Genomic DNA, 25,233 nt, shown 5'->3' on the forward strand with positions numbered 1-25,233 from the left:
AAAAGGCGAGTCTATCATAAACATTGTTTAATATTAAATATTATATCCATCAAATATGGATTTGAAACATTTTTAAGTTTAAAGTCAAATGTTTGTGTAGTTTTTAAAAAGTAAAATACAACAGCATTAGTAACTTTTTATTCTCAAAGTGATAAAAGCATTTAACATATACTTTACAGTATAAACAAATTAAGTACTATGCATTTTGCTTATAAAGTGACAAAGTATTTTAAGCATTATATAATTCAATTTGTACAAAAAGTAAATTTCCAAATACAAGCTTTGGTTAGTAGAACTGATTATGTACTGTCAAATCCATTTTTCCAAAGTTGTTCAAGGAAAAACAACAACTTGACTAGCACAGGTAATTCTTGTACAATCAGAGCTTTTTACTATTTAGAAGGAGGGGATATATTACTATAATTGCTGTTAATTTTCGAATCTAGATAAGCCTTTTTTCTTCTCATATGTTGCTGTAGGAGAGCATATCATCACTTTTGGAAAGCAAAAATTATGTAGAAAATCACCTTTTGCTTTATTCTTAAGAAGGCCATCCGTTTTAAAAGTAGATCTAAGACTGTTAGCTTCCTCAACCACTGAGACACAATCTAAAAGTCACACCACTGAAAAGAGCCGCTTTAAGAATTAATGTATTCCACCGGGGTTAAATCATTTCTGATTTCCCTCAGGAGGGTAGTAATATCTACTAGCACTAGTGCCCAGCATCAAAGTTTATATCATCTTTTAAAACTCAACATTTTATAGACTCTACAATGCATGGATTACTTTTATTCATATGAAAGTAATATAAAATGTTACCTAACTTAAATAATATAAAATATCGGTTTAACCAAATTAACAATCACAAAACTGCAGACATTTTTCTATTAAAGTTTTCCAGTTCACTGAGCAATATTTACTGAAAAATATGATTATGAACTTAAATATGTCCTCTTTAAAATTTGCTGTTTATGCTAGACTGTACAATGGTGCTCCCTTTATGATTTTTAAAAATTTTACTTACATAACTATGTAATTCCAAAATAGAAAAGTGAGTGAGCCATCACTAAAATTTACTGGAAACTAATATTCTTTCATGGAAACAACTGATAAACATTTTAAAGTTCTATATTTATTTAAATTTGGCTTTTTAAAATAGGTAAGCTTTTCATTTCAATTATTGTTTAATACTTTAAAGCTAGTTTAAACAAAGATAAAACCAAGGAGAACTAGTAAAGCATTCCTTACTTTACATACAGTGCCTCAAGTGCCACATACATAATAACATATCACAAAAGAATGTATATGGTTTAGCAGATTACAGAGCAAACCTAAAAGTTTATACAAAGCTAAACACTGCCTCCCTTCTGTTCCATTTATTGTCTTTTAATTTGATCTTGGCTCTGTATTATCCTTCTATAATACCACTGTGTGACATCTATCAGTCTTCTAAGTGTTCTGATTACTTATATATACCTTTTTCTTTAAACAGCTTTGTAACATTTGAGAACATTCATCCAATCTTTTCCATTAGATATGATATATTCATTTTTCTCACAAAATGCTCACTTTCCTGAGCTATATTAAACACCTTATAACAGGTGTATGTGTAACTGAAGACCCTAAAATGTCAAGTTTACATTTTTTTTTAAATGCATAGAGAATATAACATTTCAGAAAACCTATTAGTACTTCTTGGATATTATAACATATAGGTTTTGTTTCCTTTAGACTGTAAACTGTTTAATACGTATAACTGGTTATTTCACATCCGAACCACATTAAAAAAAATTCGGAGATATGACTGCTATTACACTAAGGAAACAAGTGGAATTTTCTGACCAAAACTCATTCATGGGTCTTCCGATAAACAATCTTTACATATACTGACTGAAGATATCAAATTTCTGTGCCACAAAATAGTAGAATTATATCAGAACTACAGCAAATAAAACTTTAATTATAATACATTTGCTTGAAATTAAGGTGCTATTCATCATGCAGTTTTTACCAAGTGGGCATCATGTCGGGAAACCACACCCTACCAAGATGCTTGGACACTTCCCAGTGAATCTGCTCCAAACTATACTTTTGGTCAGGAATTAGTACTTCTTCCATAATGGATAATTGAGATAGGCGGCCACCACACATCTTCACAAACTCAACAAAGGCACTACATGAGACTTCACATTCCCCTAGTCCAATAGCTGACAAATTTTTGCAACGTTCTGCAATGCGAATTAACTCTTCATCAAGTGGCCGTAATCCATTTGCACACACTACTAGTTCAACCAGTCTAGGGCATGTCATTCCCACACGGCCAAGCACATCTTTGCTTACTGATCTCCCAAAGTACAGATGGGTGGCAGGTATTTCATAGCGAAAGAAGGGGTCAAATTCTTCTTCATATAAAAAAAAATACATCACTAAGTTCACTTTGGGTGAATGTCTGATGAAAGCATCCCAGCTACTCTTCTGAATAGTATGGAAGTGTGTCTGTCCAGGATTCTCACTGACTACATCAATGCGCAAATGTTCTAATCGAACATGTTTTTCAGAAGACAATGCAAGTAACAACTCATCACTCAATAAGTGGTAGTTCAGGGCTAGTTCTCTTAAGCCGTGACACTGATCAGCCACACAAAGGATACCTTGAAAGAAAAAAAAAATTATTTGCAAGTTTTTGTAAAAGTTTATCTGTTGAAAAATTCAATCAAGTACATGTCCCACAAAAGTTTGTCACAGTTCCCTTACCACAAAACTATATAATTTAAAATGTGCATAGTTGAATTAGAAGGGAAGTAACAAACATTTAAAATCTATTACTAATTTTGTCTACAAGAAAATGAAACCAATTCTAAATCCCATCTATTAAAAAGAAATAAAACTCAGTTAACTCTGTCATTTAAAAAATACACCATCACTAAGGTTAGGGCATTCCAGTAATGCACAGACAGTGCCATATTTTTAAAAAGTTATTACTAACACTAAACTTATAGGTTAGGTAATTACAGGACCACTGTGACGGAGGCCAAAGGACATTTTTTGAAGTTCAAAACCTAATCCTAATAAAAACAGAGTAAGATAGAACCATATAAAACTATGAATTAGGTAATGAAAGAAAACATTTACAAACTAAAGATTCTATCAAATGATCAAGTCTAATTGCTAATAGCATATAAGCAGCTTATTAAACTTATAAGAAAAAATACCAAGATATCACTAAGTATGTCAAAAATAACTACTCAATTCACATTAATGGAAATATTCATTATGACTTTCGAAGCTCTAACATACCTAGAAAGCAGTTCCCTTAGATGATTCCCTATACTTAGGGTGCCATGCTTTATAACTTACCAAAACTATCATCCTAGCAACAGATGACATTGCAAAGGTCAATGTTTGATCTCTCTGTAAGAGTTCTGTTTTTGTTTTCAGTCAGTCTCACCCTGTAGCCCAGGCTGGAGTGCAGTGGTGTGATCTCAGCTCACTGCAGCCTCTGCCTCCCGGGTTCAAGCAATTCTCTTGCCTCAGCCTCCTGAGTAGCTGGGACCACAGGCGTATGCCACCACGCCTGGCTAATTTTTGTATTTTTGCTGGAGACAGGGTTTCACCATGTTGGCCAGGATAGTATCGAACTCCGGACCTCAAGTGATCCACCCATCTTGGCCTCCCAAAGTGCTGGGATTACAGATGTGAGCCACTGCACCCGGCCTACTATAAGAATTCTACCCCAAAGAGGCACCTTATATTACCTGGTAAGTTACCCATTCAATCCATTTCTTCCTTATGTTTAGAAACAGGGATAGGAACAAGAAAACATACACCGTATTTTCATCTATTTATTGTTACAAGTATGATGTGCCAGGTACTAGATGTTATCCCACAAATAATTTTAAAAATCTGGAAAAGTATTATTTCTACTTTGAAGTGGAGACAGCTAGCTAAAAATAGCAAAGCTGCAATACAAACACAGGCTAAGTGACTCTTATGTCCATGCACTTAACTACTGCTTCAGAAATGACAAGACAGAGGCCACCAATAAGCCATAGCTTTATAACAGTGGGAAAAGATAGGCATTAGAATTATCAGAAGAGATAAACTGAATTACCAGAATGAGTCACCAGAAAAGAGAGTAATGTCTCAGTATTCAGCAACCACAAAGTTTCTGTTTTCCGCAAAGTAGGTATATACTTTATTTTTGTTTTGAGATGGAGTCTCGCTCTGCCACCCAGGATGGAGTACAGGGGTGTGATCTTGGCTCACTGCAACCTCCGCCTCCCTGGTTTAAGCAATTCTCCTGCCTCGGCCTACCAAGTAGCTGGGGTTACAGGCACACGCCACCACGCCCGGCTATTTTATATACTTTGAAATATACTCTAATTACTCAAGGTAACCTAAGCACATCTCCGTTCCGATACCATCTCACGCCAGTTAGAATGGCAATCATTAAAAAGTCAGCAAACAACAGATGCTGGAGAGGATATGGAGAAATAGGAACGCTATTACAGTTAGCGGCAGTGTAAATTAGTTCAACCATTGTGGAAGACAGTGTGGCAATTCCTTAAGGATCTAGAACTAGAAATACCATTTGACCCAGCAATACCATTACTGGGTATATACCCAAAGGATTATAAATCATTCTACTATAAAGACACATGCCCATGTATGTTTACTGTGGCACTGTTCACAATAGCAAAGACTTGGAACCAACCCAAATGCCCATCAATGATAGACTAAAGAAAGAAAACATGGCACATATGCACCATGGAATACTATGCAGCCATAAAAAGGGATGAGTTCATGTCCTTTGCAGGGACATGGATGAAGCTGGAAACCATCATTCTCAGCAAACTAACACAAGAACAGAAAACCAGACACCGCATGTTCTCACTCATAAGCGAGAGTTGAACAATGAGAACACATGGACACCGGGAGGGGAACCTCACACGCTGGTGCCTGTCGGGAGTTGGGGGGCTAGGGGAGGAATAGCATTAGGAGAAATACCTAATGTAGATGACAGGTTGATGGGTGCAGCAAACCACCGTGGCACGTGTATATCTATGTAACAAACCTGCATGTTCTGCACATGTACTCCAGAACTTAAAGTATAATAATAATTAAAAAAAAACACACAGACATGGGAAATGGTAGCTAACCATTCAAATGAAAGAAACTGTGGAGTATCATTTAATAACTACAAAAGCAGTTGTGGCAGGCGTAATTCTCAAAATGGCCTCCAAGATCCCACACCCTAATGCCTAGCATCTGTGAATTCCATAAGATATCATGCCCATGATTATGATATATGGTACAGCTGAGCATATAAAAGATTATCTGGATGGTCCTAGTCTAATCATATGAGCCCCTTTTAAAGCAGTTTCCTCTGGCTGATTGCAGAAGAGGAAGTCAGAGAGATTCAAAATGCAAAGGGGACTCAATGTGTTATTGCTGGCTCTAAGCTAGAGGGGGCCAAAAAAGAAAAATCACAACCAGCCTCTAAGAGCAGAAAGACCCCCTAACAGCCTCCTGCTGACAGCCAATAAGGAAACTGGATGTCAGTCCAACAATCACAAGGAACTAAATTCAGCCAATAACTTGAATGAGCGTGGAGGTGGATTCTTCTGCAGAGCCTCCAGGTAAGAGCCCAGCCTTCCTGACATTTTCCTCTCAGCCTTTTAAGATTTTAAGCAGAGAAGCCACTTGAGCCCTAACTACAGCTCTAATGTACAGAACAGTGGAGCAAATAAATGGGTGTTGGTTTAAGCTGCTTTGTGTATAGCTGTCAGTTATGTACCAGTAAGAACATAGTTCCAAGTATTTAAAAACATAACACAGTGACAAAAGTAAAATAAAACTAGGGCACTATTACGACTCAATAAATTAAGACAAATAACCCAAATTAGAAAATAGGCAAAGGGGCTGGGTGCAGTGGCTTACACCTGTAATCCCAGCACTTTGGGAGGCCAAAGCGGACGGATTGCCTGAGGTCAGAAGTTCGCGACCAGCCTGGCCAACACGGTGAAACCCCATCTCTACTAAAAATACAAAAATTAGCCGGATGTGGTGGCGGGCACCTGTAATCCCAGCTACTCAGGAGGCTGAGGCAGGAGAATCACCTGAACCCGGGAGGCGGAGGTTGCAGTGAGCCGAGATCAATGCCACTGCACTCTCCAGCCTGGGCAACAAGAAGGAGACTTTGTCTCCAAAAAAAAAAAAAAAAAATAGGCAAAGGATCTGAATAGACATTTCTCCAAAGAAGATATACAAATGGCCAAGAAGCACCATGAAAAGACAGTCAAGGTCAGGCACGGTGGCTCTCGCCTATAATCCCAGCACTTTGGGAAGCTGAGGTGGGAGGAACACTTGAGCCCATGAGTTCGAGACTAGCCTAGGCAACCAGGCAAAACCCCATCTCTACAAAAATTACAAAGTATTAGCCGGGCATAATGGCGTATGCCTGTGGTCCCAGCTACTTGGGAGGCTGAGGTGAGAAGATCGTTTAAGCCCAGGAGGTCCAGACTGCAGTAAGCCAGGATCACGCCACTCCACTCCAGCCTGGGCGACAGAGTGAGACCCTGTCTCAAAAAAAAAAAAAAAAAAGATACTCAACATCATTAGTCAACAAGAAAATGTAAATCAAAACCACAATGAGTTTACACCCCCTAGCATGGCTATAATCAAAAAGACAAATAAGTGTTAGAAGACACTGCTAGTGGCTATGTAAAGTGGTACACAGCAGCTTTGGAAAACAGCCTGGCATTACCTCAAATGGGGAGTATGATCACTAGGTATGTACCTAAGAGAAATTAAACCATATGTCCGCACAAAATTTGTACATAAATGTGCACAGCAGCATTATTCATAAGTCAAAAGGTAGATTTCCATTTATATGAAATGTCCAGAACAGGCAAATCTACAGAGACAGAAAATAGATTAGTGGTTGTTGAGGGATGGCTGGGATGGAGGTTTTGGGGGCAACAGCTAAGAGGTATGTGGTTTCTTTTTAGAATAATAAAAGCATTCTAAAATTGTGGTGATGCATGCACTACTCTACCAATACACTAAAAATCAATAAATTGTACATTTTAAATGAGAATTGTGAATTATATGCCAATAAAGCTGTTAAAAAATTGGTGATTAGTGGTGGTACTATAAATTCATACAACTCATTTGGAAAAAAAAAATATGGCAAAAAGCACAAAGACCTTTGTCCTAGGACTTCCACTTCTTAAGAATGTACCCTAAGGAAGAAATTAATACAAGCAAACTGCTATAAGCCAATTTTTTTTTTAATCACAGCAAAAAAGGTAAAAACAAGTGTCCAACTTTAGAACTATAATGCAATGTTGGCTTTATAGGGAACTAAGTAACTAAATGTTCATTAGTTCAACCTGATAATTAATATTAAGGAAGCAACAGGCAAACTAACCTAGAGGTCCAGTTACAGACAATTATAACAACTATAGGAAATGAAAGAAAATTGATTAAATGTTCAGTGAGGAAAGTAGAATACAGTCCCTAATTTCAACTTAGAGAAACTGTCCAAATATGCAAAAGATAGATAGAAAATATGAAAATATGAAATTTCAACTGAAATCTTATGTGGTTATGCTCTTCAAATAGAAAGTATTACAAGTGTTCTTTCTTTTTTTTGAGACAGAGTCTCGCTCTGTTGCCAGGCTGGAGCACAGTGGTGCGACCTCGGCTCACTGCAACCTCCGCCTCCCGGATTCAAACGATTTTCCTGCCTCAGCCTCCCAAGTAGCTGGGACTACAGGCGTGCACCACCATGCCCAGCTAATTTTTGTATTTTTAGTAGAGACGGGCTTTCACCATGTTGGCCAGGATGGTCTGGATCTCTTGACCTCGTGATCTGCCTGCCTCGGCCTCCCAAAGTGCTGGGATTAACAGACGTGAGCCAACGTGCCCAGCTGTATTAAAAAGTATTCTTTCTCTTCCCTTCCCTTCCTGAAGAACTAGTCCAAAAGTCATTATGAAACCAACTTTGCAAAATTATGACCGTGAAAGAAATCAGACCTAACCGACCCTATCTTGCTTCTAACCCTTAAGCTGCCCTGGTTCATTCCTGGGCATAGGCCGAATTAACTTTGGGAAGGAATTCGGTTCACGGTTTGACTCTGAAACAAAACTGGTAACCGCCGTTTCACAAAAAGACCCCTCCTTCTTGCCGGGGTCCAGTCTGCCTTTGCAGGACTTCCAAACTAGCTACAAGATTAGAAATTACAATGTGGGGGTCATGAAGCCTCTGGCTCCAAGAGTCTGAACCTCCCCAAATTGCTCCTGGCAATAACATGATTATTGTAAAACCTAAGAACAGTGCTTGAGATATTTTGCAAACCCTGCACTAGATGGATCAGCTGACACCATCCAGACTGGTAATCTGGGCCAACTGGTTCTGCCATGGCACCTAGGAACAGAAGACATTAAGAAAACCTAACTCTGACCCCTTATAATTCCATCTCCAAACTGACCAATCAGCACTTCCCAAGCCCCTACCTGCCAAATTATCTTTAAAAATTCTGATCTCCAAATGCTCGGGAAGACTGATTTGAGTAATAACAAAACTCTAGTCTCCCACACAGCCGGCTCTGCGTGAATTACTCTTTCTTCATTGCAATTCCCATCTTGATAAATCGGTTCTGTCTGGGCAACGGACAAGGTGAACCCATTGGGCGGATCCCACAATTAAGTGGGATCAAGTAAGCTTATACTATACTATCAGAACTGTTGTGTATATTTAATAAAAATGAATGAACACAGAATATACCAGAATAAAGAGAACTATGAACTCACAGTTTTATAGAGAAATCAGAGACATAAAGACTCATACAATGTGTTAAATGCTAGCAATAAAGTTCACAGTGTTCTGGAAATACACAGGTAGGAAATCTCAACCAGAAAGGAGAAGTTCCCTTCTCCTACGTTGACAGGCAGGTCAACAAAGATCACATCTGAGCTGAATTCTGAAGCCTGGGCTGGCTGGAGTTAGCAAGGGGAAGTTAAAACATTTGAGCAAGTATTCCACAGGGTAAAGTGTACTGAGCAACCACAAACAAAGGTAACAAACAAAAATCTGTAGTTCCATAGGACCCAAGTAAAAGCTCCACGTGAGTGACCAGCAAGAGACAGGTGGAGGTCAAGATACAAAAGGACCTTGTACACTATGAAGCCAGGAAGCACAGACTTTACTCTGAAAGCAGAGCTATACAGTAAATATAAAAATGTAATCAAGGTCATATAAGAACTAACTGCCAAAGCCTATTCTTAACTTCTGTTTTATAACAGGCAGTGGTAATCTGTAAGTGGCAGAGAGGGCTAAGAAAATACAATAGACCTAGCCATTCTCATCACCAGGAGTCTCCTGTGGGAGAAAAGAGAATGAGCAAGGAGACTTGGGAGAATGAGCAAGCAATCTCCATCTAAAATGGAATCATTTCTTAGGAGAAGGCTGACCTTTGGCAATGGCAAGAAGGTTGGAAGTGTTTTTGTAAAGATCAAAGATTTGTCACTATACCTTAAAGAACAGGTTTCCCAAATAACACAGCTAAAGGATCAGCAAACATGTCAATAGTGGGAGGAGTCAGAAATTAAACAGCAGACAGTAGTATAATACAGTAGTAGGGTTTATACTCTCTTTTCAATACAAACCACCTGGAATTTAAGTAATCTCAAACTGAATAATGTAGTAATGCTCAGAAAATCCTATATAAGAGAAACTGGAAAGAGCTATTATAATGCTCTTCTTGCATTTGATGGGTTCTTGGCTCCAAAATTCAACTTAGGAAAAACATCATCTTGCAAAATCTAAGGCTACCACTTAGTACAACTTAGTTGTACAACTTAGTACAACTCTTCTCCCTCTACATAGTGAGAAGAAAAGCAATTATGTGACTGCTCTGACTCAAAATCTACCCTATTAGCTCAACTACAATGAGAAAAAACTCTACTGTAATTAATGGAGCACCTCAGGCTGACCTCATACTGTCCTTTCCTCTTTTTTTTCCTGTTCATTTTCTAGCATGTGCTATTCATAAATTTATCAAATAAGATTAGAAAATAAGCTGAAAGTCAGTGTCTAGGCTAGTAACCCTACAGAACTTATGCTATTCTATTACTACATTAAAAATATTTTAAAGAGATGAAGCAGTCATATTAATCCACCTTCAAGGTTAATGATCATAGTTTTTTCTAATTTGAACATAGCAATGCATTTTACTAAAATGTGTCTAGCAAAAAACACAACATACCTGCTGGAGAGACATGAGGACAGCTGCTCATTTTCAACAGCTTGAGTGTATCACTATTGTTGGCCACTAGTACTTTGAGAGATGGATCATCTACTGGAGTATCATCTATCTTAAGCGAAGACAGGGATTTGGAGTTTACGAACACAACTGTCAGTGCAGAGATAAAGTGAGACTGAAAAGCAAAAAAAATAAAATAAAAATTATTTCAATTTTTAGAAATGAGAATCAAGGGGTTTCCTAGTACTACAGTTTATCTGAACCATAATGACATATTAATATTTTGTAAATGTTTTAGGGGTGGCATCCCTTCACTCTGTTGTTGGGAATATGGTAAAAATAGGTGACTATCTGTCATCTTTGAGAAGAGTCTATTTATGTGTGGGGGAAAAAAGCATTTCAAGCCTCAGGATAAGTGTCTCTAAATCAGAGAAACCACTGGTAAGTAAAAAGAGGAATTCTGGAACCCAGGATGAGAATCTCTCTCAGACACTTCATTTTGCCATATCTGGAAACCCTAGTGTTCTATAACACTAAACTGCATTTCTTTTCTGTTTGATAGTTATGACCACTAAATAGTAACTATTAACACCATCATTAAAAATTAATAATTTATTCAAAATCTATGACAGACTCATTTGAGATATGAAAACTCATAGAAAATTTGATTATAAAACAATCAAAATAATACTTAAAATTCCAAGTTTAAAACTCCTTCAAATGTTATCTACAATATTTTCAAGTCTTCTATTTTAATGTATTTTGATCCACAAAAGCACCAATGAGTATCATTCATCATATATGTATATATTTGTATGTATGTACATATGTGTATATACACACATACACACACACACGTTATATATCTGTTGGACAGGATTTGATCTAAAGGAATCAATGTAGGCAAACAGGAATTAAAGCATTCTCAAAGTATGCAGCTCTCAATCGGAGCTAAGATATGAGTTGAAACCACTGGGCAAAGAATCTAGGAGAGTAAAGAAAGGCTAATACATGGTCTAACACATTCCTCTCTACAAAACCAACTTCATGCTCCAGTTAAGCTTTATAAATTCTCTACAGGAGTGAAAAAGGATAAGGGCAGGCTAAGAGCCAAGAAAGTATAATGAAACATTACTTTTTTTTTTTTTTGAGACAGAGTACTGTTCTTGTCACCCAGGCTGGAGTGCACTGGCACTCCTTAGCTCACTACAACCTTGAACTCCTGAACTTAAGCAATCCTGTTTCATCCTCCCTAGTAGCTAAGACTATAGGTGTGAGCCACCATACCCAGCTAACTTTTTTTTTTTGTAGAGATGGGTCTTGCTATGCTGCCCAGGCTGATCTTGAACTCCTGGCCACAACAGAACCTCCTGCCTCGGCTTCCCAAAGTACTCCAATTATAGCTGTGAGCTACCACACCCAACCAAAACACTACCTTCTTGATCACAATTCCCTAATTTACTTTTTCCCTACTGTGATTAAACAACTGGTTAACTAGATTTTGATAAACTATTTAACTACTTAAATGTTAATATTTTTCTCCTAATATTTTCATATCAAACTCAATTATATCTTGTACAAACATATTTCATTTGCAGTCTAATGAGTGCATCACTGACGTCTTTCCCCATTTCCCCAATTTAGCTCTGGACAAAAACATTTCTTCTATGTTCTCTTCAGTTCTCTTGGGATTTCCAAAATATTGCAACGCCCTACTTCAATCTTCTACCAAAGCCATAAAAGGAAAAGAAAAAAAGAAAAACAGTTATTAAGTATCCTAGCCTCACTTAATAAGGGAAGAAGCATTCTTTCCATTAGCTCCATTCATGGTTCCCAAATTAGTACTAGATATATGCATAGTGATAAGAAAAAAAAGAAAATTAAATTATGTTCAACATATCCTTTAATATGGTATACATACATACCATATGAGTCAGTATGTATATTTGTATTTTAGCTATGGTAGGTACACTAAAAATCAATTCAGATTGTTTCATTTCCTATTTGAAGCTTGAAGGTGGCGCTATACCATGTAACTAGTATTTCTTAGCGTGAGTTCCTTTAACCATCTTAATCAGAATCACCTGGACTGCTCACAGGAAGAGAAGACTTAGAATCACCCCGAATTTGAAAAAGGGATAGAAATCCAAAATTTAGGAGGCTATTCAGAAGATTTTTACACATTAAGTCGGAGTACCACAATGATCTTTCTGTACTTAGGATCTTAAAATATTAAGATAATCAGATTCTCCTGCCCATTTCCCTTATTTTATATGTGAAGAAAAACATTTTATCTCAAAATATACATATGTAATGAAAATGTTTCAAAATCAATTAAGACTTTGACATCAACTGGTGATTTATTTGGTACAGACATTCCACTGAAACGACCACTTGGGTTAATATATTCAATTTAGTTATATTCCCTCCTCAATCATCCTAGTACATTAAACTACTAGATACTTAAAAGGGTGTCTATATTTTAGTTTTCAGTGTCTTCTGGGAAAAAAATATCAAATTATTGTTGGATACTAACCTATTAACCATTAGCTAACATATTCAGACACCTTTACCAGTTGCCTTTCTAAAAATGCACCCTTCTTATTTTTGTATTTTAAGAGAATAGTTGTGAGAGAGAGACACGATCTCTGATTATATGCAGGATCATGTTAGAATATATATAAGAATATATGTTAACTTTTCACCCAAAGAAAGGATGTCTTTAAGTCTGTAAATTAATCTAAACTGTGCTGAGACTAACTTTGGTCATGATTAAATCTTTCCAGAACATTTGCCAAAAGATTTTAGAAGCTATACCTGCTCTCAATATTGGCACTCTACTTTTCTTTGATTCTAACTTCACCAACCTGCTCTGGAAGCCCCAAAATGAGTATCTATGTGTCCCTTTTTTTCTAATATGCTTGACTCTATTTTACTTACTGAATTTCTTTTAATACTTCCTATAGACGCCTCTGTAAATTTCTTTAACCATACCAATTTAGAAGTATGGTGATTTAAAAAAAAAAAAAAAAAAGCTTAAAAAAATACTATTTATTTTCATCCTAAATAGTAACTGGTTTTCCATTATGTATATATATAACTTTCCTTATACTCACACTGTCAATACAAAAAAAAAAGATTAGACTTTCACTGAATTTCTCAGTAATAGATAATAAAACAAAAACAGCAGATACCTTTGGTAAATCCATAAAGCTTGGTCGAGCAGTTGAAATAAGTCCAAGTGTTTTTAAAGAGCAATTCACAAGTTGCGATAGTATATCACAAGCTGCTTCAGCTGATTCCTTGCTGCTGTCCACCTTAGAAAAGAAACACCGTTTACTCATGAATATTTTATTATTTTTTTACTTTTTTCCCCAAATACCCAGACTTCAAGATTACTCATGTATATATTTATATTTCTCTGTACACATATTCATTTTATAGAAGTATCATTACTAGTTTATTGCATTATAACTTAAAGAATATTCTTTCAATCATCCACCCTCCACCCTCACCTCCAACTTGGCCTTTTCTAAGTCTCTCTGAAAAAGTATAAGGGCAATTGTCAAGACAAGACCTAGCTTTCATTATGATAAGAGACATATTTAATGTTGGCTTTTACACTGATTTATTCCAAAGTGACTGTATAAACTAATGGAGTAAATCAATTTATAGTCTTTAAAAAATAATTATGTATTTGGTAGTGGATCACATAATAGATGTAAATACAGTGTCTATGGTATGCAATAAAAACTAAGTATTTACTCAAAATGTTCACGTGTATCACAACCTGGGATTCATCATTAATGTTATTAATGGAAAGATGTGAAGTAAAATGAGTGTACTGGACCAGTCAGGCATGAAAATCTAAACTAAATAAGATGTAGCTATTCTCACACATACTTCTGCAAAGACATTTCCTAAGGGAAGGATAAAGGGCCAAAAAATCCCTCAAGGATGTAAAAAGGAGTTCATCCATCAAAAAGTTAGTTGTTTCCTGGGAAGCACCTTAAAACAGTTAAAAGGATATTATTAATTTCCAGATTCATATACACTACTTTATCCCAAAAATGTTAAGAGTGGATTGTAAAACTAATGTGCTAATTATATTAGTTTCAGAGCTACTTATAGATAATATGTGGTCCCTGAGACTAGCAGCATCAACATCACCTGGGAACTTAAATGGGAACAAATGTTCATACCCAACCCAGACCATCTGAATCAGAAACTGTGGGGGTGGGACCAGCAATTTTTGGCTTTACAAGCCCTTCAGGTGATTTTGATGCACATAAAGTTAGAGAACCACTCTTCTAGACTAAAAATTCTAACTATAAGCCTCCTTGGTCTATAATCAGTGAAGACTATCAGGAGAGCCCAGAAGAATCCTGTGATGTGACTCTTTTTTGTAAATCAGAAATTATTTCCTCAGGAAAATTAAAAAAAAAACCCTACTAAAAATGTTCAACTTTTGCACAAATGATTTTATGAGGGTTATACTAGATACACCTGAATTGTATCACAGGGCTATAAAAATGACCCAGCAAATCTACTAGGTGGAACTGGACTTTAAGACCTATCAGAGGAATGTATTTGTATTATACTCATCTTTGTATACAATTTACCATTAGAACACTCTTACACAATTCAAAGATAACTAAAACCAAACAGAAACCTCTTTAGCCTTCTTCCCTGGGGGTATGGGGATGAGTCCTGAATTTTTGTTTGATCCCCCTACCTTTGCCCCCAGTTAGGATCGCAAGATAATATACTAGACACCAATTAAGTTTCAGGTAAACAACAGATATTTTTTAGCATTAAAGATGTCCTAAACATTAAAAGGGATGTAACTATACTAAAAATTATTCATTGATTATCCGAAATTCAAATTTAAATACTCATCTTACATTTTTATTTGTAAAACCTGGCAATCAGTGGCCTAAGCGCCTTTGTGCAGTTTTCTGGGAAAAAAAAGGCAAAAACATATCCAACCATTCCCACCACCAATTCTCTCCTCCTCCTTGGACAGACATGGGAGAATAAGCAGGTAATCTCCACCTAAGAGGAAATTACATTCTTCGAGGGAAGACAAGATTTTAGTTATGGCCAGAAGCTCTGGGTTAAGAACTACTGTTCTGCCTAGGTTTAGCCTGGACTATTCAGCAACTGCTTGTGTCCAGATAAATCAAGTATTCATGCATTGTTTTTTTTTTTCAATAAGTTATTTGCTACCACAAAATCTGGTGTTTAAAGATCCAGTAAACATGTCCATATTTCATTATTCATCACCCAAACAAAACATGACAAGCCTCACACAAACCACTGTGATTTTTTATTTTTTTAAATAGAGACAGGGTCTCGCTCTGTCACCAAGGCTGTAGTACAGCTGCACAATCATAGCTCACCACAACCTCAAACTCCTGGGCTCATGCAATCTTCCCGCCTCAGCCTCCTGAGAAGCTGGGACTATGGGACTACAGGTACCCACATCCAGCTATGATTTCTTAAATTATTCTGGATATCGCAAAAAGCCACCCACTTCATTTATCTCATCACTGCATGATTTCCAATACCTTCCTTCCAGCAACAAAAAGAAATAAACAGTTCCCTTTGGCATTCTCCCATGTACCTTTTTCTATTTCTCTCTAAAATATATTCATCTAAATCTTCTACATAAAGTTTCTATGCTTCCTTTTCATCTGAAGATCCCATTTCAAAAAGCCATCAGTAAGTAACACTAAGTTCCTGTTAGATAGAAATAGCAATTAAGCTCTACTCAATTATAATCTCCCAATTTTTATTTTATTAGATATTTCTTCTTCCTCAAAATCGTTCACAATAATTCAATGTAATTCACAGCTTTATCAATGACTTATGCTTATTTAGTGGCTGCTTTTGCTGTTTTAAGAAATTATTAATAATTAATAGAGTAATTTAGCTCCATCAAATATAATATTTTGTGACAGCTTCTAAGGTATACAATAATTCTAAATTTTTAAGCATTTTCCCTGAAAAAGCAAATATTTTAAAGGCATGAGAAGATGTACTGGTTTAGGAAACAAAGCCACTAAAAATACTTTATTTTTTAAAAGAAGGATTTAAAATATTACCTTGAAGCTGACATATTGTAGATGGTTTGAATGTCTTTTAATAATCTGTTTGATCAGCTCTGGATGGGTAGCTTTCAAATAAGATGTAGCTGGCTGATTCAGTTCAAATTCAAAACATCTCCACAAGTCAGGCATGTGAAATACCTGGTTCCAGTTGCGGCAAACTTGTGAAGCATGAGCCCGGTCAAGAAGAGGCAAATATTTAAATACTTGGAGAATAATGTCCTGAAGGAGATTACCCCAATCACAAGTCTGAGAATGCTCATTTGTAGTCCTCAGTTTCTTGGATTTCTCTGCAGTTCCTTCTTCTGATGAATTACGGTCACTATCTCTTCCTCCTCGTTTCATCCTATTCCGAAAAATGCATCAGTTTTTTTCCTACTCAACTTTTGAATAGAAATAAACTCAAAATTCATTCTTCTGTCACTGAGATGTGTGTTTATATACACAAACATGCAGGAAAAACTGGATCAGTAATTCAAGAATACCAAAACAAACTATTATGAAAAATGCCAATGAAGGCCAACAATGGTTTTATAAATTTTACACTTTTTTGGCATGTTTTTAAACATCTACATTTATCAGTATAATATACAGTATATACTACATGGGAGAGAGTATTATGATTTTGAAACTATGCTAAGAATTTATATTTCAAAAGTTGTGGTCAACTTAACTAAAATGAATATAAAAGGGAACCTACAGCGATACTTTGTAAAGGTTTCTTAAAAGTCATCTAAGGATATTTGTTCTTGAATTCCAGGCCAACCAGGGTCCCAAGAACCTCCAGAGAGGATGTTCCACATTTAATAGTCTATACAGGGGTCCTGTGGTTCTGGCCTGAGGACCAGAACTGGGCCCCATAGCAGGAAGTGAGCAAGCTTTACAGTCTGAACTCCTCCTCCTGTCAGATCAGCAGCTACATTAGATTCTCATAGGAGTGAGAATCTTATTGTGAAATGTCCACATGAGGGATCTAGGTTGTGCGCTCCTTATGAGACTCTTAATGCCTGATGATCTGAGGTGGAACAGTTTCTTCCTGAAATCACCCCCTGCCACGGACAGGCACTGGGCTATGCTATGTGTTACTGCCAGACATTTCTTAACTCCGCCTAAAATAAGCAAAACCACCCCTACTATGAATTGTTTGGTCTGGAATGTAGCTGCTTCTTCAAACACATCACTTAATATTGCACTGTTTTCCCCAAGTTGTGTTTCTGAATTATACCTATTTGTTTATTCTATGTATTCTTAGCACTTTCATTCCATTAGTTTCTTTGAAAGATAGTTTTTTCATGGCAAAACAGTATTATGGCTAAAGAGAATGGGCTCTGGAACCAAGCTCCTTGGGTTTGAATTCTGGCTCTACCTCTCACTGGCTATGTGGCTTTGAGCAAATTACTTGATATTCCTGTGCTTAAATTTCCAAAATTAGTTTAATAAAACAGGGTTTCTGTGAGAAATGCAATACTATTAAGGCTTTTCAAAGGGGAGATACGACTGTTGAACTGTTGAGATATGACTGTTGTGTAGGAAAGCAGTCCAGCATTAACGACATTAAAGTACACAACATGCTAAAAACCAGGGTTACTACCCAGAAGGCAGAGAATGATTCATTCATTCATTCCGTTCACTCATTCATTCATTCCGTTCACTCATTCATTCAAGATGGGGTCTCGCTCTGTCACCCAGGCTGGAGTGCAGTGGCACGATCATGGCTCACTGCAGCCTCGACCTCCTGAGATCAAGCAATCCTTCCACCTCAGCCTCCAGAGTATCTGCATGCACCACCACACCCGACTCTATTTTTGCTTTAAAATGGAGAGAGAGAGAGTGTGTGTGTGTGTGTGTGTGTGTGTGTCAGAGAGACAGGGCAAGTGAGCTTGTGTACGAGAAAACACACCCTGGAAGTAGACTCACTGAATTATTATAGTAACCAACAGTAGACGGCAGATTACAGGTAATTTTTTTTTCTTGCAAACATCTCTTCCCTTTTTATGTTTTACACATTTTCTTTTACTATCAATGCATTACCGTGTAATCGGACTTTTTGGAAAAGTATAGCAGGCTCTAAACTAAATGGCTGCAGACCACTCACTGGTAGTTACTTAGTTCAGAGCCTGTAATACTTTTGTTTCTAGAGAACAGTTCTGGCAGGGTAGTGGTTTCGACCTAAACTTGGGGTCACAATCTTTCAGAAAGATGGCTTGTTGCTCCAACACTCCTCTGGCCTATCAGCATAAAAGAATTTCTCATTCCTGTGTGAGATGAAGGATATGCATATGCATTACTGTAAAACAAATGTTTCTGCAGACTTTCTCCACCCAGTACCTCGCAAAACTTGTGAAAGAGGATTGAGGGCTGGAGAGTAAAAAGAGAATGGCAGAGGCCTCTGACCTTAATGCCATGAAAGTCAGTCAAAGACGTCTTAGCATATGTGCAATAAACTGCCTATTCTTCACTGCTCCTATTCCCAACTATGTGAATAAAATATATTACGTATACCCTACTGATCAGGGAGAGAACAAGAGAGAAAATAGAATGACAGAGGTGACAGCAAGAAGGTAGTCTGATGGAAGACTGGAAATTATGTGTGACTTGAGATTAGTTTTTTTTTAATAAGTTTAGAGAAAAGTGTATAGTCTACACTGTAATCTTTAATATTAAGTCTCTTCTAATAATAATCCCTCACTAGAGGCTGAGATAACACTGTTATTATGACCCATTTTTCTGCTTTAACTTACCCTGAAGGCTTACTTTAATTTTAGTATATAAAATTTGGGTCAAAGAACAAAGTGTTTGCTATCCAGAGCTTATAATTTCTCTTCTGACCACCTAAAACTACTCACAATTTTGAGATACAGAGATTCAAAAAAGAATGACAGTCTTTGCAATTTCTACACCTTATTATAGAATACTGATTGCCTGTTTCTGGAGAACAATCTTCTAAAACCAGAACTAGACAACTTAAAGACGGAATGATTCATTTTACTTTAGAGTATATGGATATATAAACAAAAATAAAATGGTAGCCTTATTCACATAATAGTCTTTGCTAATAAATACTTTGCTGGTCCTAAAAATAGAAACTTTCTTTTGTCTATTATAGTACTGTTTTAAATAAAATGTACTTAAATACCTTTCCAAGTTCAGGTTAAAGAAGTTGACAAAATTTTTTTTAACAGTATGCAACACTAAGGGACAGTATCTCTTGATCTAGATATAAAAACACTATATGATCACCAAAGCCTATTTTAAGAACTTACCAGTTTACAAATAGCTGAATTAAGTCTGTTAATTGTCATACGTAATATGTCTATGTTACAATTATAGTGCATTAAGCAATTGAAAAAAATGTAAGGCCAAATTCCAATAAAAATATCCTCTGCACTATCCTCATTTGTGCATGAAAATAACAGAAGTGAGTGGACACTTAAAATTTTAAATGTCAATTTTTCCAAGTTGATTTCATTTATGTATGAAAAAATTTACACTACTTTAATAGTATCTTATTAAATCTATTTACACATGAAACTCTGCTATACATAAAATTAAACATCTCAGAGCATCTTCCAGCCTGCAAATAATTTACATCAATGGACCCTATAATTCCTACTTTTGTCAAAGTGAAAACACCTCCTATATTTGAAAAGAAGTGTGGAGAACCAAGCTGTACTATAAAACGTCAATGAGACATTCTAGACTCTAGAAATCTAGAGCACCAAAACTAGGCCTCTTCAGGGCTCTGGCAGTTTAATTTCCTGCAAAGCTTCTAGGCCCCAAATAATGCAACTTAGGCCACCACAGCTTTTGGTGAGGGACTGATATGACTACAAACTGCTAAATAGCAAACTACTGAGGAAAGACCACAGACTAGCTGAGCAGCACAAGGAGTTAGTGAACTAACTCTATGTTCCATAAACTTTCCAGGTGGGCGCGGTGGGCCACGCCTGTAATCCCAGCACTTTGGGAGGACAAGGCGGGCGGATCGCTTGAGCTCAGTAGTTTGAGACCAGCCTGGGCAACACGATGAAACCTGTCTCTACAAAAATTAGCTGGGCATGGTGGCCCATGCCTGTAGTCTCAGCTACTAGGGAGCCTGGGGTGGGAGGATCGCTAGAGCCGAGATCGCGCCACTGCACTCCAGCCTGGGTGACAAAGTGAGTCCTTGTCTCAAAAAAAAAAAAAAAAAAAAAAAAACTTTGAAAGAAGCAACTTCATTAGGTGAAGACCGGAAGTGAACAGCTAGCCGTGTGCATCGTTGTATTAGGCACTTTTACACTGGGCATGCAATAATTTTAAATGCTCATTTGTAGTTAACTCTAAAAAGCCTATTTTGGCATCACAGTTCCTTTCTGTTCTGCTTTTACTAATATCAAACTAATATGCATTCTTTGGCTGAACTACAAGAATAAAACACTATAAAGAGGTTAACTCACAACTAAATGCTTAGAGAGCGCACAGTGGCGAAAATCTGTCTACAGGTCATATAGATAGATAGATAACTGATAGTTGATGGTATTTTTATAAATATTTCAGAGATAACAGAAACTAAGTTACTTTTTTTTCAAGTTAGAAAAGGAGGATTCTAATTAAAAAATCTGGGTCACTCAACTGGATATCATTAGCAACGACAAAATAAAAATGATCTCTCTCACCTCTCAGCTTGGAGATACAGACCATTTACTGGGCTGCTTCCTGACCCCTGTCTGCAACCCCACCTAAAGGACTGCCCACGCCAAAGGCAGACGCGAATCCGCTCAACACAAGTTGACCAAGTTTTTCGCCTGGCTAAGCGGCAGGGGCGTCCCCTCCTCCCTGCGCCACCTCCCCACCGACTGGCTTCCCCTGACATTTCTCATGCGCCCCACCCTGGGCAGTTTGCTTTGACATTTCAGTGCCTCATTGCTCAAGCTACCAGCACGGGCGTAGCCGACGCCGGGAGAGCCCACAGAGTGCGAGCTCCATGGTGCCTGTCACCAGCCCCCGCCAAGGGTCATAAAGCCTGGCAGGAGCCGCGGCGAACCCGGGAGCGGCGGCGTCGCGGGCAGGCTGCAGGCGGCCGCCGCACACGCACCACGCCTTGTTGACATGTTTGGAAGCAGGCACGGCGGGGAAACGCCCCCAAGCAAGCTCCAAGGTCTGGGTGCCGCGCCCCGCGCCCCGCCCGGCACTCCTGAGGAGCGGCCCGCGCGCGCCCCGGCCCCCGCGCCCCCCCCCACCCCACCCCACCCCGGCCCGCCCACAGACGGTCCGCGGTCCCTCCCCGGCTCCGCCGTCGCAGCGGGGCTCGGCCCTGCCCCTCCGCCGTTACCTGCTGCCGGGGGCGGCTTCCCCCACACACCACCCCGTGCTCCGGGGACGGCGGCGGCTGCAGGTCCCGCGGCTCTCACATGAGGCGCCCCTGGCCCCCCGCTTCGCGCTCCCGCAGCCGCGGCCCCCCGCGCTCCGCCCGCATCCGAGGCGCTGGTCCCGCGGAGGGCGCCAACGCGGCTCCACCTTTGCGGCTCTGGCTGCCCAGAAAGAAGCTTTCCTTCTCAGTCCCGCGCTGTCTGTGTTCAGGGATCCCCGGCGCCGCGAGAGACTACCTCAGCGAGCGGCTGCCACCGCGTAAGCTTCCTGCACCTGGGCCACAAACAGCGAGTCTAAAATGGCGCCCAGGGCTCGCGGCCGCGCGCTTCCCTGGCGCGTCCCCGCCCAAGGGGGCGGGAAGGGGGCGGGGGGGGGGCGGAGCCCGGCGGGAGTAGGGCCGCGCCCAAGCGGGAGCGCGCGCTGCGGCCGCCCCAGTCTCCTTGCTGTGGGACGAGCCTCTGCCTTCCTGCCAGAGATGTGACTCCCGCTTGAAGGGGATTTTTTTTGTTGTTTTGAGATGGAATGTGGGAGGGCTGAAGCTAGCTATATGTGGAAGAGACTATCTGTGGCTGAAACTGGAAGGTTTAGGGAGGTGGAGCAGAAAAAAGAAAGGAAGGAGTCTCGCCGGAGCCTGCTGGGGACCGCGGCCCGCGGGTGGCCGCCCCGGATGCCTGAAACCGAGGAGTTAAATACAGTCTCCGAAGACCCGCGCATCGATGTGCATAAGTGGTGCTTAAAAGATGCCAAGGAAATGTACCAGAATAGTGAGAGTATTAACGCTGGGATTGCACATGGTTTTTGTTTTTCAAATATTTGTATTTCCCAATATTTCTAAAGTGGCTTTTATCATTAGAGTTATTACATTTTAAAAACGACATTTGCTTTATGAAATAGAGTCCTGAAATTTGTAAATAGCTTTTGAAACGCAATGGGGAAAGTAAAGGATTACAAAGCTGCTGAAAAGAAAACCTCTGGTGAATCCTTTTGTAAATCAAGGCATCTTTGTAACTGCTACCTAGTTGACTTGTTTTAAAGTTTGGATTTTTTGATACTGCGTTTTCTTACAGTTAGAAACATTCTTAGGTGCAATATCATTAAGTTGAATCATGCGCCATTCCTCTCTACACCTCCAAAAAAAAAGAGAGAAAGTAGTTTTCCATTCAAAGATGTCTTAGAACACTCAGACCCATGTATAAGACACTGAAAAGCAGTGGTGCCCAGGGAGCTCTCCGTTCTTCCCGTTTTCTCAAGAAATTGAGCTAGGAAGCCATGTATAAAGTTACGTCGAAGTTCAGTGTGAGGCCAGGAGTGGTACAGGCTTATGTCTGTAATCCCAACATTTTGGGAAGCCAAGGCAGAAGGGTTGCTTGTGGTCAAGAATTGGAGACCAGCCTGCGCAATATGTCCAGACTCTTGTCTCTACAAAAAAATAGAAGAGTAATAATTTTAAAAAATCAGACGAGCTTGGTGTAATCCCGGCTACTACTCAGGAGGCTGAATCGAGAGGATGGCTGGAGCCCAGGAGTAGGAGGTTACAGTGACCTATGATGTCACCACTGCACTTCAGTCTGGGTGAGAGAGTGAGACTGTTTCTATAATAAAATGAATTCAATGTGGGGAAATGCCAGTGTTGTTTGTTCGGTGTTTTTTAAGGGCCTGTCAGCTGTCAGATCACTGAATCAAACTGTACAAAGCCTCTAGTAGCATAAGAGTGTGGATTTGCCTGAGCTGCAACATTTGTTTAGGTCCCTCAGTGACTGGATGATGAGGAACAATAGGAAGTTCTAAGAAGGACAATGATAATTATTAAGGAAAAACAAATAAGTCAAATACAGGCCCATTTATTTAAAGTTGGGTGAACAGTATAAATGATCAGCAAAATACATTAAACCAATTCAGTAAACATGATGAGCATAGGTTGCATTACGTTAATATTGTATCACATTACGGTTATATCACATTCCAATCATAGTTCTTTTTTTTCTTTTTTCGCCATTATGATCTATTCTCCTCCTAAACAAGACAAGGACCTTGGCACACTTGACCTATTGAATACCCCTTTTCTTCCCTGTTATTGGCAAATATTTTATTTCACCTCATTTTTTTTGAAAAAAAACGTTTATTTTTTAATCAGTCAGTACTTATTTACATTTATCAATTGTATCATCAAGATCAGTGGCATGGTAGGTGGGAGAAAGGATGAGTGTGGAGCACATTGATCCAACTGGGAAAAATAATTTATTACTGACCCTGTTTGGAATTGCCAATGCATGTGGTAATAAAAAGCAGATGAACAATTAGTCTCTTTATTATTGTTTTAAATTATCCACAGACAATGTACCCCCTCCACCACGTAGAATGGTGTAGACTATTCCCACACCACCCCAGCCTTGGTACACCAATGATCAGGATAGATTAGATTATGTTGCAGTAGTTCCTTAAATACCATCTTGTAATTCCTCGTTTTTGATGACCTTTACAGTTTTTAGGAGTACTGCTTTAGTATTTTTGTAGAACGTCCCTCAATTGGGGTTTGTCTTAGGTTTTTTTCTTATAATTACATGGGGACTATGGATGTTTTAGAAGGAAAACTACAGAGGTATAAAGTACCATTCTCATCACATCATATCAAGGGTACATCTATTAATACGACTTATCCTTGTTGATGTCAACATTAATCAGAGGTTGAGATCAAGTTATTCTACTTAAAGTTACCCTTTTCCCTCTCTTTTTGTACTGGAAGAAAGTCACTATGTGCAGCCAACACTGAAGAATGTGGATTTACCTGAACTGCAACATTTCCTTGAGAGGGGAATGTCTATTTAAATTATTAAAACTTTTCTGTCTTGGGAGGTGTATCTACATATCTCTTAATTGTATATGTTTACTTTTCTGTCTGTAATTTCTGTAGATCTGTCTTCAAGTCACTAATTTAGTCTATTTAGTCTTTGCTAAGACTACCTTTGCCTGCGTTTTTCGTTTCTAAAAGTTTTATTTGGTTCTTTTTCATATCTACCTGATCTTTCTTGATACTCTTTTCACTTTGTAATTTCTTTTTTTCTTAAATTGTTTTAATCCTATGAAATAATTGGGGGTCTAATCATGATATGTGTCAATGTTTGTTCATGGTGGGTTGTTCCTCATGTATTTTATAATTTTGGATTGTGAGTTCATCTTCCGTACAACTTTAGCTGCAGGAATTTTGTGCAACAGGCAGAAGCTGGAAGGGGAGGAGATTGTTAGTGAGTGCTGGAAAGACAATAAGGAATTGTTAATGGAGTCCAGAGAAATCAGGATATCTTTAGATATCTTTCATATAATAATGGCAAGCCCAGGGAAACATTTGTCTATGGCAACATGGAAAGTAGAGAAATGCATTTATTTAATTGTTGGACTTGGCTAAAGAAATTTCCAAGCAGGCTGGCTGCAGTGGTTCACGCCTCTAATCCCAGCACTTTGGGAGGCCAAAGTAGGCGGATTGCTTGAGCTCAGGAGTTCAAGACCAG

General features: G+C 38.5%; 1 protein-coding gene across 2 annotated transcripts, besides 4 other annotated features; it reads right to left on the reverse strand.

The window, feature by feature from the left end:
- Positions 1–122: 122 nt before the first annotated feature.
- Positions 123–22,022, reverse strand: FBXL3 (F-box and leucine rich repeat protein 3). 2 transcript variants are annotated; one of them, XM_005266336.2, is made up of 5 exons: positions 21,875–22,022; positions 16,376–16,724; positions 13,463–13,585; positions 10,272–10,443; positions 123–2,651 (listed from the first exon to the last, which is right to left on the reverse strand). In XM_005266336.2, exons 2-5 carry the CDS (start codon positions 16,721–16,723, stop codon positions 2,008–2,010), a joined length of 1,287 nt encoding a protein of 428 aa, XP_005266393.1. In that variant the 5' UTR covers position 16,724; positions 21,875–22,022; the 3' UTR covers positions 123–2,007. The 2 variants fall into 2 exon arrangements, with proteins under 2 accessions (XP_005266393.1, NP_036290.1); NM_012158.4 differs by having other exon boundaries at positions 21,690–22,022.
- Positions 4,228–4,297: an enhancer, noted in NCBI's record as "active region_7838". NCBI's record gives its function as "activates an Ori minimal core promoter by ATAC-STARR-seq in GM12878 lymphoblastoid cells {active_cell/tissue: GM12878}" and the evidence as "EXISTENCE:reporter gene assay evidence [ECO:0000049][PMID:35858748]".
- Positions 21,563–21,622: a silencer, noted in NCBI's record as "silent region_5415". NCBI's record gives its function as "represses an Ori minimal core promoter by ATAC-STARR-seq in GM12878 lymphoblastoid cells {active_cell/tissue: GM12878}" and the evidence as "EXISTENCE:reporter gene assay evidence [ECO:0000049][PMID:35858748]".
- Positions 21,643–21,922: a silencer, noted in NCBI's record as "silent region_5416". NCBI's record gives its function as "represses an Ori minimal core promoter by ATAC-STARR-seq in GM12878 lymphoblastoid cells {active_cell/tissue: GM12878}" and the evidence as "EXISTENCE:reporter gene assay evidence [ECO:0000049][PMID:35858748]".
- Positions 22,093–22,142: a silencer, noted in NCBI's record as "silent region_5417". NCBI's record gives its function as "represses an Ori minimal core promoter by ATAC-STARR-seq in GM12878 lymphoblastoid cells {active_cell/tissue: GM12878}" and the evidence as "EXISTENCE:reporter gene assay evidence [ECO:0000049][PMID:35858748]".

The sequence above is a fragment of the Homo sapiens genome, chromosome 13 (genome assembly GCF_000001405.40).
Source record: "Homo sapiens chromosome 13, GRCh38.p14 Primary Assembly".
Lineage (NCBI taxonomy): Eukaryota > Metazoa > Chordata > Mammalia > Primates > Hominidae > Homo > Homo sapiens.